The 20562-nt window shown below is 39.5% G+C and overlaps 1 long non-coding RNA gene across 1 annotated transcript, besides 1 other annotated feature; it reads left to right on the top strand.

Annotated features, from left to right (window-relative positions):
* The first annotated feature begins 2854 nt into the window (after window positions 1–2854).
* Window positions 2855–16019, top strand: LOC105374262 (uncharacterized). The gene is made up of 6 exons (XR_007096211.1): window positions 2855–2961; window positions 3427–3513; window positions 8582–8647; window positions 9482–9581; window positions 11352–11410; window positions 15848–16019. It is a non-coding gene; the product is annotated as an uncharacterized LOC105374262 (long non-coding RNA).
* Window positions 18840–19584: an enhancer, noted in NCBI's record as "OCT4-NANOG-H3K27ac hESC enhancer chr3:187237003-187237747 (GRCh37/hg19 assembly coordinates)". NCBI's record gives its function as "activates a minimal SCP1, AML or CMV promoter by ChIP-STARR-seq in primed H9 embryonic stem cells {active_cell/tissue: H9 hESC(primed)}" and the evidence as "EXISTENCE:reporter gene assay evidence [ECO:0000049][PMID:30033119]".

The raw sequence follows: 20562 nt of genomic DNA, 5'->3' as shown, positions 1-20562 counted from the left end.
TTATGTGTTTTAACGTTTCCTGTAATAGTTTCTCTCTATACATTTATGTCATCGGTAGATACAGAGTAGATTTATTTACTTTGTTGTTTCCGATTTATAGATATAGTTATTTTGTTTAAATTATATTTTAAAATTGTACAATATATTTGTACCTCTCCAAGATCAAGTCTACAAATAAAATATATTCAAAGAAGTCTACCTTCTAGCTCTATTTCTCCTCTAAAAACCACTTATCCCTTTATAGTTAACCTCTGTTTTTGTTATTTGCTTACACATAAGTAGAAAAAATACATCATCCAAAACCCTGGTTGGGATAGCGGTGATAATAGTAATATTAGTGGTAGTTGTAGTAATACCATTGAAATATTAGAACGCTCTCTTACATGTATGGTGTGTTACAATTTATACTCTTTTATTCCATTCATTGTATCATTTGTATAATAACTCTCTGGGACAAATGTTATTTTCATTTTATAAATACAAGCATGTGTCGCATAATAATGTTTCAGTCAACAACAGACCACAGTACAATGTCGGTCTCATAAGATTTTAATGAAGCTGAAAATTTCTATCACCCAGTGAAGTCACAGCTGTTGTAATGTCATAGCACAACTCATTACTCACATGTTTGTGGTGATACTGGTGTAAACAAACTTACTGCACTGCCAGTCATATAAAAGTATAGCACATACAATTATGTACAGTACATGGTACTCAATCATGATAATAAACAATTATGTTATTGGTTCATATAGTTACTATACCATATTTTTATCATTATTTTAGAGTGTGTCTCCTTCTACTTATATACTTTTTAAAATTTCACTGTAAAAGAGACCCAGGCAGGTCCTGCCGGAGGTATTTGAGGAAGGGTTGTTATGGACGGAGATGGCAACTCCATGCCTGCTGTTGCTCCTGAAGACCTTCCAGCGGGACAAGATGTGGAGGTGGAAGATAGACACTGATGATCCTGACCCTGTGTAGGACTAGGCTAATATGTGTATCTGTGCCTTAGCTTCTAACAAAAAAAATTTAAAGAGTTAAACAAAAATAGAAAATAATAAATAGAAAGAAGCTCATATAAAAAGGACATAAAAATATTTTCATGCAGCTCTTCAATGTGGCTGTGTTTTAAACTGTTTTTAGAAGAGTTAAAAAGTTAATAAAAGTTAAAAGCTTTAGAAAGTTAAAAATTTACAATAAGCTAAAGTTAATTTATTATTGAAGAAATTAAAAATTTTAAATAAATGTAATGTAGCCTAAGTGTGCAGTGTTTATAAAGTCTACAGTAGTGTGCAGCAATGGCCTAGACCTTCACATTCACTCACCATTCACTCACTGACTCGCCCAGAGCAACTTCCAGTCCTGCAAGCTCCATACATAGTAAGCGCCCTGTACAGGTGCAGCAGTTTTTATCTTTTATATTGTATTTTTACTATACCTTTTCTATGTTTAGATGTGTTTAGATACACAAATACTTTCGATTGGGCTACAATTGCCTGCAGTATTCAGCACAGTAACATGCTGTACAGGGTTGTAGGTTTGTAGGAGCAATAAGCTGTACCATAGAGCCTCGGTATGTGGTAGGCTATACCATCTAGGTTTGTGTAAGGACATCATAATATTTGCACAACAATGCACTCGCCTAATGCAGGGGTCCCCAACCCCCGGGCCACGGACAGGTATGGGTCTGTGGCCTGTTAGGAACCAGGCTGTACACCAGGAGGGGAGCAGCAGGTGAGCGAGCATTACCACCTGAGCTCTGCCTCCTGTCAGATCGGGGCGGCATTAGATAATCACAGGAGCTCAACGCCTACCCCTATTGTGAACTGCACACATGAAGGATCTAGGTTGCGGCTCCTTACGAGAATTTAACGCCTGATGACCTGAGATGGAACAGTTTCATCCCGAAACCATCCCCCCACCACCCGCACCACCCAGACCACTCATCCATGGAAAAATTGTCTTCCATGAAATCGGTACCTGGTGCCACAAAGGTTGGGGACTGCTGACCTAATGACACATTTCCCAGAACATATCCCTGTCATTGATACCTCTCGGGTTCAATTTTTATCTCTGCGGAAATGGGAACTGTGCAGGTTAAATGAGGTACTGTGACACTATGGGCCACATGAGACTGCACATGCCCCAAACTGCCGTAACCACGGAGGATTTCCTGGTGACGCAGAAGCTGTGTATTATAGAACACAGTGCTGCCAAATGAAGAAAAGATATTCAGCTCAAGCATAATCAAAAAAATTTTTTTTCTGCTAAAATTATGAGGGGTACAACCCCTTTCTCTTCAAGCAGCAACTGGGCAGAGCTCATGGGCATAGGGCCCAGCACACAGGCATGGATGCTGTCAGGACACAGGGGCACTGAGCCATTGTTCTCAGAAACCACCATTGTGACGTCATTCCCACATAAAAACTAATTATTGTCATGGATTTTATTTTAAAATATTAGACGGAATCAAAGCTTCCTAAACAAAACACTTGAACAAATCTATAAGCAAAACTTAGGACTATTTCTGCTAACTGAAACGAACCTCCCTGTTATGAAGAACTTGATCTTTTTTTTTTTTTTTCTTTTGAGACGGAGTCTCGCTCTGTCGCCCAGGCTGGAGTGCAGTGGCGCAATCTCAGCTCACTGAACCTCCACCTCCCGGGTTCACACCATTCTCCTGCCTCAGCCTCCTGAATAGCTGGGACTACAGGCACCCACCACCACGCCCGGCTAATTTTTTTTATATTTTAGTAGAGACGGGGTTTCACCATGTTCGCCAGGATGGTCTCGATCTTCTGACCTCGTGATCCACCCGCCTCGGCCTCCCAAAGTGCTGGGATTACAGGCGTGAGCCACCGCGCCCAGCCAGAACTTGATCATTTTATTGCCCCATGTGTGGCAGAGGACAGTCCAGGGAACACCAAAAGGATTATTACAGCATGAATTATTCTAGAGGTAGCAGCATCGGGACAAACTAACTTCTCTTAGCCACACTATTACCCATTTCTTGGTGATGAGGCAATCAGAAATGAATGCCAGAACCTCTTTGTATTCAGATTTACATTTCGGTCAACCATAGAGAAAAAGGAAATAGTTTTGTATTTCTTTGACTTAGTTTGGTCAATCTTGATCAAATTATCTTTTGCCTTTATAAAATCCTGAGTTTACAAGTCTTCTGGGTGTAGACATAGATACATATTCAGACTGGTGGGCAGTCCAAATGTGAGAATTTTATTTAAAATCTTGGCCCTCAGCTGGGCAACCATAGATTGCTATACGCCTTAGAGAAAATTGACTAAGTCAAGAGTTATTTCTGTCTTACTGAGCACCAAGCCTGATACATTCAGTTTCCTCTCCTTTTCTTTAAGCACCACAAAAGAAAAGGTTTCTTTTGATACGATTTATTATGGTACTTTTCAGGTGGACAAGGAGTGACACAGGGTGGAGGAGTCACATCACACTTCCTTAAATCAATGTCTTGTCATCAAACTCTCATTGCATGGGAACGTAAGTAGTGGGGCTTAGGCTATGAATATAAAGAAATGTCTTCTCAATAAATAACTCCTCCCAGGTGTTAGTACCATCTTCTGGAGTTGAAATAAGCCTTTGTTTTATGCCTTATGCTAGAAATAAAAGTCCTAACATCTTTAAAAACTCAACATACTATTTTCCTTTCCATTCTTCTGAGCTAAAGAAATAAAATGAGTTGTATGGGGCAGTCATAAGCTGGTTCTGATTTTAGGGCTAACAATATCTAAGCAGATGTCTGGAGTTAGACATCTCTTAATTTTCTTTGAGCCTCAGTTTTCTCATCTTCAATAGGAAATTGGGAATCTCAGTCCAATAATTTTTTTTTTTGCAAAAATCAAATGAGATTTCGCTCCAAAGGCAATCTGCAAAGTAAATTGCTATAGGAGAATAAGTATTATTATTATTAAGATCCATTTTATTAAGACCAAGTATACAGTTTCTAGGTAGCAAAGAGTCCTTATGGTTTGGTGAATAAATGGCCATTTGACTAAAAGACTATTTTCCTCCTCTTTTATTCCCCATTAGGGGAAGTTAATTTCTTTGGAAGCAACAATGCTCACTTGAAATCCTTTAAAGATTCTCCATTTCCTATGAATCAAGTATAACCTACTCATGTTGCCAAATCAAGGCATTCATAGTACTGTCCAAAACTCTTTTTCAGGACTTATATTTCAATATTTTCATTATACCTAACAAATAAGGTGAACTCACCTGTCTCTGTTCTCCGACTCTACCTTAGATGTCCTTCTGTGAATTTTCTCAAGCTGCTTCCTTAACCCAGGAAACTTTCCCATCAATCTTTCCTTAATTATATTTTCTATCTTCTTAAGGCTCATTTTTGAAATAATATTCTTCATGAGGCTAATTCAATAATTCCCTTCCAGACATGAATTTTATTTCCTTTTCTAGGTCCTTATTTTTCTTTTCCCATCTCACCAATCTCTTCCTGTCCCCTGGTTCCTCCCTGTGACCCAAATGTCAGCTTAGAGTCTCTAGTTTTTGATATTCAAATGAAGAGACTCCTGTCCCACACTACATGCAGTGAGACTGATACATTCCACCTTATTCACCGGTTATGGGAGGAGGAAGGATGATGATTTCTGCTATCTTTAGTTGCCTATGCCTCTGAATCTACTCAAGATAAATTCAGATAAGTTAGCATAGTTTGTAGTTTGTCTTGTCATTGTACACAAGATGTCCTGGCTCAGCTTCGGATTGCCCCAGGCATGGAACACAGCTTCCTTTCCTTATTTTCTCATGCCCTCCACCCTCAGCGCTCCCCAGGTATCACTCACGTTAGGAATGTGTGGTGGAGCAGAGGACCAGAGATAAGGAAGGCACAGAGAGAAACAGAAAGCACTTGAGAGCTACAGGAGGATCCCCTCAAATCCTGAACATTAACCTGCGCATACGTTGGGTGAAACTCCTAAGGCTGGACATGAGGTATTGGTAGAGCCTTTGAAAGGACATGCTGTAGTAGTAAGGCTAAATTAATGCCAGAGTAAATGCTGATCTGTACCCATTGTAACAAAGCTTAAAAGAAGGATTCAGAATAATCGAACCAATCTGCAAGTAATTTAACTGTGTGCCATAACAAAGACCAACACTCTTTAAAGAAATACAACTAAATCACAAAACCAACAAATACATGAGACCTGACATCCAATAAAAAATTTCCCAGCATGCAAAAAAGAAACATGAAAATATAACCCATAATAAGGAGAGAAATAAATCAATAGAAAAAGACTCAGAAATGACATTAATAAAGGTAATAGCAGACAAGGAACTTGAAATAGCTATTATAAATATTCAAAAAGATATATAATAAAACATAAACATGATAAAATACAAGATATTTTTAAAATATCTAAATGAAACTTTTAAGATGAAAAATATATCAAAAATGAAAAATACGCTAGATGAGATTCAGAACCATTTAGACACCACAGGAAAAAAACAGTAAACTTAAAAACATAGCAATAGAAACCATCCAAAATGAAGCACATATAGAAAAATAAAGACTGAAACAAGTGGACAAAGCTTCTGTGAGTGTAGGATAATATAAAGTTTTCTAAGATAAGTAAATTGGAGTTACAGAAAAAGAAGAGAAAGATGAATGACACATAAAAAGATCTGAAGAAAGAACAGCTAAAGGTTTTCCCCTCAAATTTGGTTAAAACTATAAGTTTACGGATTACGTGTTTCAGTGAACCCCAGGCAGACTATTAAACACACACGCACACACACACGCACACACGCAAATCATAATCAAATTGGTGAAAAGCACATAAAAATTTAAAAATATTAGCAACCAGAGAATACAGGGACATTATACAGAAAGGAGCAAGGATAAAAATTACAGCAGATTTCTTGTTGAAGATGACATAAGCCAGAAGGCAGTGGAGTGGGATGGAGAAGTCAATGTCCATTTCTACACCCAGAAATGAAACCTTCTGAAACAATGAAAGCTGAAAGAATGTGTCACCAACAGAACCTGACTACGTACAAGTCCTTAAGGGAAAAATCACACCTTTAATCTGGATTATTTCTCTCTTTCTATGATTGTGTAGTTTCCTCTATCAGACCCAGCAATCCATGTTTTATGTTGGTGGTTCCATGTTACTTCTACCAACAGGTACAACATATGTTGCAGACCTGGCCACTTATCCTGAGGTCAGGTTGGTTAATTTCCAGGATGTAAACCTGTATCTGAGTGTTCCTGGCTTCCTACTCCTGCAGATACACAGAACCCTCTGGAGGCCACACTCAGTGTCATCTTGTTTTACCCTATCCCATAGGCAGGTGATCCCTGCTTTAGGCAGTGCGCATGGGATCCACACATGGTCCTCTTTTAGACCTATTCTCTATAGAAACAGACTTTCAGCTATGACGGCTGTTTCCAGATTCAGAGCCTAGCATCCCTGGATCTTGTACCCTCTTTCCTACCTCCCATTTCATCCAACTTTTCTCTTCCTGGGTCCTCTTCTAGGTGAGTGGCACAAAAATGCACCTGCTATATCACACTGAAACCTGAGACTCAGCTTGACTCTTCCAATTCCACTGTGTGACTAACGGTTTTCAAACTTCTCTTGAGTCTGTCAATTTCTCTCCTTTTTCTTACCAGCCACCTTAGCTAATTCCCTCCCATTTTTTAGCTGTAGCTCAACAGTGCCTCCTGGTCCTCCCACATCCACTCAACTCATTGTCCAGTGATGCCATAGTGACCTCCTTGGTTCAAATCTGATGACATCACTCATCTGAGTAATGTCTCTTCATTCTCTTTAAAGTAAAGTTGAAGCTTTTTAAGATCTTTAATCAGCTCTTTTTTTTTTTATTGCTGCAACCTCATCTCTCATCATTTGTTGCCTCCAACTTTTACTGTGACCATTAAACGATGAAAATTTCTGAATGTTCCATGTTCTCTTTTGCTTCCAGGATTTGCAGAAATTGTTCTGCCTTCTTGAAGCGTTATCCTTCTTCATCTATTGAATGTGTCATCACCTCCCCAGTAAAGCCTTTCCTGATCTCCCTAGCCTTGATTAAGTGCTCCTACTCTGTTCTTCAGCTTGTGTTGCACTGATTCAGGTGGTGCTAATTGCACTATATTTACTTCTGCTTCCACAAATAAAACTGTGAACAACTTGAGGGCAGGAGCTTTCCATCACCTAGCATGGTATCTGATACATTGTTGGTGCTCACAGAGATTTGTGGAATAAATAATGGCCATTAAGTATTAACTTAATGTCATTATTAATTCTTATAACCCCACCACACCTATCACAGTGCCTGGCACATATTGATCACTTAGCACATTTAGTAACATTAAGCAGCCATTGATCACTTACTATGTATCTCACATATTATAATGCCCTTTTGTAAATGTGATCTCATTTAAACTTATCAGCCCATCCCTCCCTAAATAAAGCATGTTTTATTATCCTCAACTAAAAGGTCAAGAAACTAAGGCTAAGAAATATTACATAGCTTTCTCAGGGTCAAATCAACATCAGAAATGGTGTTCAAGCCCAGCTTCTCTTTCCAGTTGAAGAAAGTACCTGTCCAAGAAAACTCTGTCCAAACTGATCTTTATCAGGTTTATTTAAGGGAAAATAACTGAATGTCTTTGCTATATATTTCCCCAGTAAAAAGCAGTAGAAAAAGAAAGAAGCAAAATAATCTAACACTATGAAAACAGAACATTTATTTCCAGTACATATCTATGATGTCTATCAAAATGGAATGTAATTCTGAGAAGAGCCAAATTACAATTCTTATATGATTAAGTCTTTATCTGCAAGCATTTGACAGATCCTAAGAATCAACCAGGTAAACTGATGTAACAGTACAATGTCTTTCTTCAGTGCATTGAACTGGAAAAAAGTACTAATGAATGCTGATCATGATTTTGACTCCTGATTAGTATACAGAATGTTAATGTTTTCACAGTCAAGAGACAGATTAGTATGTATAGGTGGCTTAAGTGGCTATCTAGCTGGTGTTGCTAGGATTGGCTAAAAAAGAAAACTCTGAATAAATATTTCTCACATAAAACATTATCTGAATGTCTACTCAGAGGGATTCCAGTCAACCATTCTTTACAGTAGAGACTTTATATGAAAAATCCTAATACAACACTCCCAGGAGGCTGTGTGATGGAGAGAAAAGCATCCTGGCTTTGGAGGTCTGTTTTCCCTCTCTGCTAATTACTTGTTCTGTGAACTGGGCAGGTGACTCTTGCAACACAACCAATAGAGTTCTTTTCTCATCTGTGAAATGAGGAGTAGGACCACAGGACCCCTAGTCTTGTCAGCATTACCACTGCTGTGGATTTAGGGGTGATCTTATCACTGCAGTAGGCTGACCTCTCTGGTTCCTCCCCTCCTGGATTTTGATACTCTAATTCACTGTCAACAGTGCTGTGTGGCCCACGGGCTGAGCAGTAGTTGGGTGGTAGAACCGTGGAACTTACAGGAATCAGGGAAATAGTAATTATTTCTATTTATTTCTCTCCACCCCTTTTTGGCATTCAACATGGATTTCGAAGTTTTTGTCAGCTAAGAAGCATTTCTGGTCTTCACTGAGCCATAATTTCATCATCTTTAAAGTGGAGGTAAATAATACCTACTTCTTAGTCTCCATCACAGGCTTCTTTTGCCTTACCTTAAATTACTAGTGAGGTTTTAATGGGGAGTGCATTTGTGACAGTGCTTAACAGAATGCATGGCACATTGAAGGCAGTGCAGGAAGTCAGTTTCTCAATTCTACCTTTGCTTTTTTAGAGTAGCCTAAAGATCAAGTAAACCAACATCCTCACCCTGATACCAAACTCGGCCTATAGAAATGTGTAATGCCTGACTTTTGATGGTTCCTTTGCCTGGAGAAATAAACCAATTATATTTTCCTAACTCAACCACCTCTCAATAAACATCCTTCTGCAGAGCATGATTTCTCTCCTGTGTGTGGGAGTGGGACAGCATCTAATTAGATCTAGGTTCCCTTAATGAGAAGCTGCCCATATGTACTCTCAGCCTTGAATTGCCTGCCCTGATCTGGAGCTATCTACTTGGCCAAGGCTCCAACTGGTGCTTTCTGCCACCAAGAAATCTTAAACAGCTAGGGCTAGAGGATCTAACGACAATGTCAGTAGCGGCATCTTACTTCATATGGTAGATAATTATAACATTCATTCAGAAAAAAAATAAAGAGGCTTGTTGTCATAGTGATGGCTAATTCTCCAAGTTGGATGCATAGCTCCAATTGGAGCATCTGCCAGCACAGAGACACACATCAATTTGTTGTGTATGCTGCAGGAATAATTGAGATTATACTTGAAAGAAAAAAATTTGACATGGACAGGATTTTCTGCATTCATGCTGTATTGCATTCTCTTGTGTATGACGATGGTTTTCCTCTTATCTCTATTTTTCTTTTCCAAAAATATTAGTTTTCAGGGACTTGGTTATACTCCAGGAACCAGTGATGATATTGGCTCCTGATATCCAGGAAGCTTTGAAGGCCCTGAGACCAGTAACTGGGATGTTCAGGTAACCAAGCCTGGGAGCCAATAGGACTTTGTCACTTGTGCAATTAGAACAGATCCAGGCTGGGCACGGTGGCTCATACCTGTAATCTCAGCACTTTGGGAGGCCAAGGAGGGCAGATCACCTGAGATCAGGAATTAGAGACCAGCCTGGCCAACATGATGAAGCCCCGTCTCTACTAAAAGTACAAAAATTAGCCAGGCATAGTGGCTCATGCCTGTAATCCCAGCTACTCGGGAGGATGAGGCAGGAGAATCGCTTGAACCCGGGAGGCAGAGGTTGCAGTGAGCCAAGATCATGCCACTGCACTCCAGCCTGGGCGACAGAGTGAGACTCCATCTCAAATAAAATAAAATAAAATAAAATGAATAGATCCAGCGAGAGCCCCTGATTCAAATGGGTGAATTTAGAAACTTTAGAGAAAAAGGAGATATGGGGTCCTTACCCTTCTGATTCTCTTCTCATCTCCATTGCCAGTCCCAGGTTTCCGGCAGATATGCAGCTTATTGTCCAATTTTATTATTGGGTTAGAGCAGCTCTGCAGAAACTTTGTCTTGTTTTTATGCTGGAGGAACTACAGAAAATTAAAAGAAAGAGAGGGTTAACAGGTATCAAACAACATGTATGAGCCAAGTACTATCCTAGACCCTATTATATCCAGTTTCTCATTTTCCACACCAAAAACAAGAGGGAATTAGTTATTTTTCCAGGATTTATGTGGTTAGTAAGGGGGAAAGATCAGAATCTTCCCATAAACACTTTTAAAATTTATTTTTAATTTCCATAAAAGTTATTGGGGAACAGATGGTGTTTGGTTGCATGAGTAAGTTCTTTCGTGGTGATTTGTGAGATTTTGGTGCAACCGTCACCCGAGCAGTATACACTGAACCCTATTTGTAGTCTTCTTCCAATAAATTCTTAAACCATCTTTTCCCTATGATCCTCAAGCCCAAAACTGGCCCTGGGTAGTAATGTTACTGCCTCTTCTTCCTTATCTCTACTCTGTCACCATGAGACTCTTAAAAGCAAAAGTATTTCCCAAATAGGAGGTAGCACCAATTCGGGAAGAGAACAGGGATGGGGGATGCATGGGGGGAGGAGTTATCAGAACAGAGAAACAATTACTGGACCATATTGCGAGATGGACTGTCAGACGGTCTGCCTACACAATCTTCTATCTGTAGGGTGAAAGAGAAAAATACTAGACTGAAAGTCTGGTAATATGAATTTTATTTTTAGTTCTTATATTACAATTTCCTCCTCTTGTAAATTAAAGTGGTGGGACTAGGTCAGTAACTCTCCTGTGGGGAGGTGGATAGAGGCATCACATATGAAAATAATAGGGAATTGGGGTAAGATGGTACACTTATATATTCTCATTAAATCCCCCCAAAAAATAGATACAGCAAAGACGAATAAACTAAAATCCCACAGAAATAATATACAATCTATTTCCATGAACCCCAGAATATAAGCAGAGTATATATATATATCATAACAAGAATTGTGTTGTATTAAAGGCTATGTGGGAGAATGTGAAGGGAATATAAAGAACTTCCAATGGCGCTGAGAGCCCAAGGACCCCCCCAAATTGCCAATAATCACTCGCTGAAAAGCTTGACTGGTCATTTGTGGACAGTGGTTGAAACTGAGAGAATGCTTTGCAGACTCAGATTTATGGGTCAATACGAACAGCCCATGAAAGCTCAGATAATACCAGTGTGATCTGGAACCTGTAAACCATTGAAACTAACTAACCAAATATTCTTGTAGGAAGGAGCTCAGGACTGAGGACAGACCACTGAGAATAGAATCCAAATTGCTCCAAACAGGTACAATGGGAGCAAAGAAATGCAACAATCTAAGTAAAATAGAAGGAGGGGAGGGGAAACTCAGCACACTGTAAAAAATGTGAAGCAGCTTCCACACCAAAACATCCCATTTTCCAAAAACAAAAGAATAGGGTGCTTCAGAGCTTGGAAGCTAGACAGACTTCCCTGACCATATAGTAATATGATTCCCCGTTCAGTAGTCATTAGCCACATGTGGCTATATTAATTCTAATTAAACTAAAAGAAATTAGGTTAAGGTTTTATTAATTAAATTTCATTAAAATTTAATTAAATTAATATTTAATTTTTCGGCTGCACTAGCCACGTTTCAATTTCTTACCAGCCTGTGGTTGAAGGCTACTGTATTATGTGGTACAGAACCTTTCCATCATTGCAGGGTGTTTTACTGGACAGTGCTAGGCACCTAACAAATAACATGAGCAACAGAAAATGACCACAGTCAAATCCTACACAAAGTCATAAGATAAAAGAAAATATGGTGCAAAATAATGTGCCTATAGAACAAGGATTGGCAAACTCTTTCTGTAAAGATAGTGAATATTTTTAGGCTTTATGAGCCTAGAATAGACAGTAAATATTTTAGGTATATAGAAAAAGTTTTTGGCTTTGTGTGCCATGTGGTCTCTGACACAACTACTCAATTCTGCCAATGTAGAGTAAAATTCACCATAGACAATAAGTAAATGAATAAATGGCTATGTTCCAATAAAACTTTGTTTACAAAAACAGGTGATGGGCTGGATCTGGCTTGTTGGCTGTCTTTTGCCAACCTCTGCTACAGACCATGAAGTTATGTCAAAAAGACAGATCCACTAAACAAATGAAAATGGTAAACAAGGCCAGGTGCAATGGCTCACTCCTGTAATTCCAGCACTTTAGGAGGCTCAGACAGAAGGATCACTTGAGCCCAAGTGTTCAAGACCAGTCTGGGCAACAGGGCAAGACCTCGTTTCTACAGAGAATTTAAAAATTAGCCAGGCATGGTGGTGCATGCCTGTAGTACCAGCTACTTGGATGGCCGAGGTAGGGAGATTGACTGAGCCCAGGAGATCAAGGCTGCAGTGAGCTGTGATTGTGCCACTGTGCTCCTGCTTGGGCAGTAAACAACAGAGCAAGACCAAAAAAAAAGAAAGAACGAAAAGAAAAACAATAACTTAATAATCAAAATCAGCTAAAAGAAAAAAGAATGAGTCAAGTCTGTAAATTTAATCTGTAAATATAGTGGGCATGGAGAAATGTCAGGAGAACTGATAATCTTAGGCTATAAAACATCCTCAATAAATTTCAAGGAAGAGAAAAAATAGAAACAGTACTCTCTGACCATAATACATTAAAGGTGAAAATTTAATTTAAAGGAAAGATCCTTCTACTGATGAATTTTTAATGCTATTAAATAATTCCTGGTTCCAAGAAAAGATAAAAAAACAAACTATAGACTTTCTGGAAAAATTACTAATGTGACCACAATACAAGTCAGAATCTATGAAATATAGCTAAAGCAGTTACCAGAGGAAGTCTAATAGTATTTAATATCCATATGAATAAAAATTAAAGAATAAAATAAATAAGCTAAATACTCAAGAATTTAGAAAAAGAATAAGACAGTAAGCCAAAGGAAAGAATCAATGCAGATCAAAGTAGAAATCAATGAAACATAAAACAGAAAACCAGTAGAAGTAATGAATAAAGGTAAAATCTGGCTCTTTGAAAAAAAAACAACAACAACAAAATGTTTAAACCGCTAGCTAACTCTAACCCAGGTTTTACAAAAATGGGAGTATAAATATACAAACTTAGAAATGATAAGATAAATAATCAAAAGGCCAGAAAAATATTACAAATTTATGAAACTAATCATGACTTATAAAAATGTACCCCAGTAAAAATAGAAAGACTAGAAAGACCAAATACCACAAGAGAAATAAAGCATTTAAAGAACACAAAAGGCCCGGCATGGTAGCTCAGGCCTGTAATCCCAGCACTTTGGGAAGCCGAGGCAGGTGGATCACGAGGTCAAGAGATTGAGACAATCCTGGCCAACGTGGTGAAACCCCGTCTCTACTAAAAATATAAAAATTAGCTGGGCGTGGTGGCACATGCCTGTAGTCTCAGCTACTCGAGAGGCTGAGGCAGGAGAATCGCTTGAACCGGGGAGGCGGAGGTTGCAGCAAGCCAAGATCACGTCACAGGTCACTGCACTCCAGCCTGGCAACAGAGCTAGACTCCGTCTAAAAAAAAAAAAAAAAAGAACACAAAAGCACCAAGACCAGGTGGTTTCTGTTTCTGTCAATAGACTATGTTCTCCTTGAAAGGCATGTTTGCTTCCATTGTATACCCCTCAAAGTTTCTAGGAAGATCTTTTATACAAAAGATCTCTGTTCACTCACATTCTACGCGTATTTACTCGAGCACTTATTAAGTGCATTTTTGTGAAATTGACGCTAGCTGGGGGGTGGTTACAAGCAGCAGTGGTGGTAGCAGTTGGGGTCTGCGGTGGCATGGTAAAAACAAAAAAGCTGCATCAACCAAGAGAGCAGACACCTGCAACTAAAAGGAGCATCATCACTGGGCAACTATGGGCTGGGCAGACCTAGCTTTGAATTCCGATTCTTTCAGTTTATAGCTTTATGACCTCGGGCAAGTTATTTAATTTCTCCAAGTGTTACTCCTCTTACCTCTATGATGAGAATAATAAAAGTACTGACCTTATGTAATTGGTGTGAAGATGAAATGAAATAAAGTGTATAAAGTGCTGGGCTATGCAGTGCCATGAAGTACCCACTCAGTGGATGTTGGCTGCTGTCATCATGACAGGTGTGAGAGTGATAATAATGTGGTGTCTTGAATCGTGTTTCAAGGTTCACAAATGGGAAAAGCAAATTGAAATATGCATTTACTTTCAAAATCCAATCCCTTCAAGCTAGAAGAAACATTGCAATCTGAAACCTTCTCTTCTTGCCCACAGTCTTCCCAATTCAAGACATCTTCCTTAGGGAACACTGGGTAAAAATGATGAGTTGAAATGGACACATTCTTTTGCTCCATTCCTGAACCCCACTAAAACAATAGTAAAGATACATATTTTTAAAGGATATAATTCATAATTAGAGAAACTGAGAAGAGACACAAATTTACAAGAAATAAAATTTTGAAGGGTAAAATGCAAATGAATGAATGCTAACTAATTTAGCTGTACAGGAAAAGTTGAATCTTAAACCAGCACTGGTAAATGTTAAACAAAAAAACTATTTACATGCAGAACCCCTCAAAATTTTACTAATTTGCACTAAGTACCTTAGGAATTGTGAGTGAACAGGCTAGCTTAAAAAGTCTGCTTTTGACAATTATATCCTCTCTACCTTGCAGCCAGGTGAACACCCACCTGGTAGAAGACTAGAAATGTGGTCTCTGAACAGGGTAAATGGATGTTCCCTAAACTAGAGGGCACCAGGCACAATTGAGAGTGGGCTACCATCCTGAAGGACAATAAGAAAATATAAGTGCTCCAAACATTGAGGTCTCAGCTGACACTGCCAACACAGTTACAAAAATGCCAACGCAAGACCAGAGGATCCTTCCCCAGAAATAAAATCAGCCTAAGGGGAAAGATTTACAGATATTGATAAAAATTGGCCCAAACTCACCATTAGAGCCCACAGTCAACCTGTCCCACCCCATGAATCCAGAGCTTCCAATAAACTTTTCTTGTGACCTAGTCTAGTTAGTTTTTGTGGTTCCCCAAGGATCACTATTTGTAACTTGAAATACAGAGACCAAAACAAACACAAGGCACATTAGAGAAAAAAGAAAACATACAGGGAGAAGACAACTGAAAAATAATATATCTTTGGAGAGTTAAGAGATGATATTGCATCCATGCAAAAAGAAGAAGATGCAATTAAAAAGCATACTCAGAGACAAATAAAAGAACACCTAGAAATTGAAAATATAACAGCAGATAAATGAAAATTTAATAGAAGAAACAGAAGTTAAGGTTGAAGACATATATGATAAAATAGAAAAAAATGGCAAACAGAGAGATAGAAGAAACAACAGCCCTCAAAGTCTAAGGTCTAAATAACAGGGCTTCCAAAAGAAGGGAAGAGAAGAAATGGAAGGGAGAAAATCACCAACCAAATAAGTCAGGAAAAGGTCCTCTAACTAAATGACACTAGTTTCCAGATTGAGAGGGCCTGGCACCATGGATAAAATCGCCATAATGGGGGAAAGAGAGGGGAAGAGGGAGAGGGTGAGGCAAGGCCCTGATAGAGACAGAGAGAGAGAGAGAAAGAGAAAGAGGAAAAAGATGGAGAAGTGGGGAGAGAGGAGAGGAAAGAAGGGGAGGAAAGAGAGGGAAAAAACCCAATAACATACAAAGACTCATGAATTTGAATAATTTCAGACTTCTCTCAACAGACATGTTAGAAGCTAGAAGATTATGGAAGGGAGACTTCAACATTCTGAATGAAATGATTCCTGATGTGGAATGTCATAACCAATGAAATCATCAGTCAGGTGTGAGAATTAAATAAAGACAACTTCAGAGATGAATGTTCTCAAAATTTTACCTGCCCTATATTCTTTTTCAGAGAGGTTTGCTCTGCCAAGGGATGTAGTTCCTTTAAAGAAGGGAGAAAACCAATAAAGAGGAAAATATGGATACAGAAAACTGGGAATCAAAGAGAGGTGAAGGGGATCCTAATGATGACTTGAAACAGGAATTAAAAGAAAATAAAGAACATGTAAGCAAAAACTCAGTTGTATGTAAGAAAACCCAATTCCCCCTTAAGAAGAGAAAGAGCTGGCGTCCTTTAAAATTAACTGCCTGTTTTTCTGTGGCTAGTGACCCTTATCTCTCCCTTTCCCAGGCATTATGAAGACTGTTTCTCTAGCTGTGCAGCTGCAAGGTCACCAGACAGATAATCTCAAGTCATAAACCATGTTGTTCCTTAAAAAGTAAGAAATGATGTAATGCACGTCTCAATTAAATAAGTGTCTTTGTTTCTCCCTTCTGTAATATGCTTCCCCCTGCACAGATCTCCCCCCACCCCACAAAATGTTTAAAAGGTAGCTTGACTCTTGGTTTGGGGCTCAGTCGTTTGGATGTTAATCCGAGTGGGTCAGTGCACCTAAATAATTAAATAATTCCTCCTCAGCCCCTCGGTCTCTCTGATTCCTTAATTATCCCCCACCACAGACTGACCAGGCAGATCCAATGATGCAGCTATGCACCCAGCAAAAAGGTTAAAATCAGCACTCTGGAATCCAACAGAAGGCCCCCAAAAAATTCTTCAGAAAGTTATCATTGATAGAATAACTGATACTTTTGAACATTTTGAGAGAAAACCTGAATAGGTGGCAGAACTTTGGATGAATTAGGTTACCTACATTGAAAAAAATAAGCAAATTAAAAACTATAAGACCATCATTGGCTCTAAAAAATAATAAAAAGTTATTCAGAAAAAAGAATCAGTTGAAAGTACATGTTTCACTGTTTAAACAGTGTTTGCGCAGTCAAAATCATAAAGAGGATTTAAACCCCTGGCTAACCCTAACCCAATTTTTTACAAAAGAGGAAGTATAATATATAAACTTAGAAATGACAAGATAATCAGCGAACCAGAAAAAAATGAAACCTTATGAAACTAACTTATGAACTCTGTGCAGACACATTTAAATCTAGCCCAGGTTAGGACATAATTGTCATGAGAAGATTTGGATAGTATGAAAGGATGTGCATATGTGATAATGGAAGAGGGAGAAAACTGAAAAAAACATAAGTATCTCTATCCTGAATCAAATACCAAAAAGTAGTGGCTAAAATAGGTGAAAGTGGTGTGTTGGAGAGGTGGACATGAAAGAAAGGGGGAGAAGGGCGCTACTGCTTTCTGAAACGAATCTTGTGGACTTGTCAACCATCAGCGTATGTATAATCCTTATTAAAACAAGTACACAAACAAAAACTGAAAAACTGAAGTAAATCTCAATTGGGGCATAAGCTCTCTGCTTGTGAACTTCACTTCTGATTCTGAAGGGTTTCTAAGCAAGCCTAACACACGGTATATTTTCCCCACCAATCTTTTTTTTTTTTTTTTTTTTGATGGAGTCTCACTCTGTCACCCAGGCTGGAGTGCAGTGGCGTGATCTCGGCTCACTGCAATCTTCACCTCCCGGGTTCACGCCATTCTCCTGCATCAGCCTCCCGAGTAGCTGGGATTACAGGCGCCCACCACCACGCCCAGCTATTTTTTTTTATTTTTAGTAGAGACGGGGTTTCACCGTGTTAGCCAGGATGGTCTCAATCTCCTGACCTCATGATCTGCCCGCCTCAGCCTCCCAACGTGCTGGGATTACAGGCATGAGCCACCGCGCCCGGCCCCCACCAATCATCTTTTAAGCAAAAGAACGTGAGGGAGGATGTGTTTGTGAATGTGGTACACCTACGTAGCCGTATGACAGTGACTGGTGTTTGAAAACAACCAGTTTTTATATGTGCAAACGCCACATAATGTTTTCTAAGCAGTTATCCCTTATTGCCTACACTCAGATTTCTAGGCAGCTGCCCTGCGGGTGGAGGGCGGAAAGGAAAAGACTCTAACAGAGGGGAGTGGCCACGAGAAGCATCTAGACAACCCACCAGATAGCAGTTAACAAGGTGGTAACTGCCAGTGGTCAGAATAATATAAACAACAGCAATGACAACATTCATGGGAGTGTAGACATCTAGTTTACAAAAGACTCATATCCTTAAAAAAAAAAGTCCTAATTGAGGCAAGCATCGTTGTGTCTGTAAGACAGCTAAAGCATGGGTAATCTGGGTCAGCAATTCCATGTGGGCTCCCAGCCAATGGCCAGGATCATCTGCCAGCTGTGTGAGTGAACTGTCTTGGATGTCCACCCCATTTGGCTAGGTGATACCAAACCCAGCTTCTCTCTGACTATAACTCCAGAGAACTTCATGTGAGACTCTCCAGGCTGAGCCTATCAGTGCAGAGAACCATGAGAAGTAATAAGAAATTTCTGTTTTAAGCAACTAAATTTTGGAATGGTTTCATGCAGCAAAAAATACACAGAACAAGGATGATCTACACTAGTCCCCTCATTTTACCACCAGGACAATCAAATCCAGAATAGAGGGCGGCCTTCCCAGGGTCTCAGAATAGCAGGGTGGAGGTTGAGTCTGGAACAGATTCAGGCCTCCATGGCTTTAGGCCATGCGTTCATTGTCCAAGGCTATTTAATCTACACTAAATACTGCCAGTATTTTTTCCCCTTTCCCTTCCTTCTCCTTCTCCTCCTCCTCTCTCTCCTCTTCCTCCTTCTTCCTCTTATAACTCTTTATTTTGATACGTCAAAATTAAGAAAAGTTTCAGCAATAATGCAAGAAACTCCCATACACTCTTTACCCAAATTCACCAATTGTTGGCATTTAGTCTCCTTTGCCAATGTTCTTTTAAAGAGAACATTTTTCCATAGGAAGGCTGCCCACAAAATGAATTCCCACTGAGTGGTTAGTCACCAATCAGATAGATCATCCCAGCAGGAATGGGAGCAAGAATAGGCACCCAGGAATGCAAGGCACGTAGGAGGGAAAGCTATGGAGAAAAGAGGAATGTTAATCAGGAAGAAAGAGCATAAAAGGGAGACCAGAATCACCATAGACAAATTTGTCTGCAAGACATAGTCCCCAGGAGTTTCCTGAACTAGCCTGCCTTCCTGAATACACCACGAACCTGAAGTCTGCAGGCACACTCTTGAATCTTACCACTAGCTGCATGGCCTCGGGCGAGTTTCCTTCCTATCCGGGAGCCTCGGTTTTACCTCTCTTTATAGGCCATATTAAATAAGTCGACGTTACGTGGAAAGGCTTTATGAATAGTGCTGAGTAAAGGAATTTTAATCATTTGCATCTGATAGAATCACTTCACTTGGGGAGGCATTTGTTTGGTTGGTTGTTTGGTTGGTTTTTTGAGACAAGGCCATACTCTGTCACCCAGGCTGGAGTGCAGTGGCATGATCTCAGCTCACTACAGACTCAACTTCCTAGGCTCAAGCAATCTTCCCACCTCAGCCTCCCAAGTAGCTAGGACTACAGGCGCACCAACACACCCGGCTAATTTTTGTACCTTTTGGAGAGATAGAGTTTTGCCGTGTTGCCCGGGTTCACCTGGGGAGCTTGTGAAAACTTTTGGTTCTATATCCCCATCTTTGGAAATTCTTATTTAAGTGGCATGGGGTGGAGTCCAGGCACTACTGTTTGTTTGTTTTTTTAAGCTCCTGAATAGTTTTAAATTTTCTGCCAAATTTGAGAGATGGCTGAGATAGTCAATATGACTATCATCCAGTATCTGCCTAGACTCCCAGAACTCTTGCAGACTGGGCTAGATGTCCTCTGCCCTTTGCCCACTTCTGTTGCCACCCTCATCACAAAAGTGAAACATGATAGTTAGATGGGCTTCCTATTTCATTTCTGCATCCTCTGATAATTTGCATCAGAAAGATTGCTTCCTGGAAGTGCCTTGCAGATTGTCAGTCTCTCTGTAACTAGTCAGTTTAATCCTTGCGCAGAGGTTTTTTGTTTCCGCCACAGTTTAACAGCTGTCACTCTTCCCCTCCAGCAGTTTATAAACCTAATTGCTACTGTACAGATCTATGTAATTTGGGATTGACGGGAACTGACTCACATGCAAATACCTCTGTAAAGAAGTGTGGGAGGGATTTTATATTCCTTGGTGGTCTTAGGAAGGCAGAATAATAATTTCTCAGATGAATATCACTTTTTTTAGTTACAAAAATATCCTTTCTGATGCATTTATTTCCCTCTTTTTTTTTAACTACAAATATCTTTGAGATGAACTACTCATACATTTTGAAGTTGAATCCTTCCCTTTCTCCCTCCCTCTCTCCCTCCGTCCCTCCCTCCCTTCCTTCCTTCCTTCCTAGCATTTCTTGAGCTCCTGCTTTGTTAGGCATAGAGGATGCAAAGATGAATAAGAATGTATTCTACCTTCCGTGAGACTCATAGTCTAAGGATAGAGAGAGACAAACACAACACAATTTGAAAGATGTTATAATAGAGGTACACAGACTTCTGTAGGACCATCCTTTGATTAGGATATTTACAGGAGAGA

This window comes from Homo sapiens, chromosome 3 (genome assembly GCF_000001405.40).
Source record: "Homo sapiens chromosome 3, GRCh38.p14 Primary Assembly".
Lineage (NCBI taxonomy): Eukaryota > Metazoa > Chordata > Mammalia > Primates > Hominidae > Homo > Homo sapiens.
The sequence above is the reverse complement of the archived record's forward strand: the minus strand, read 5'-3'. Positions and strand labels throughout refer to the sequence as shown.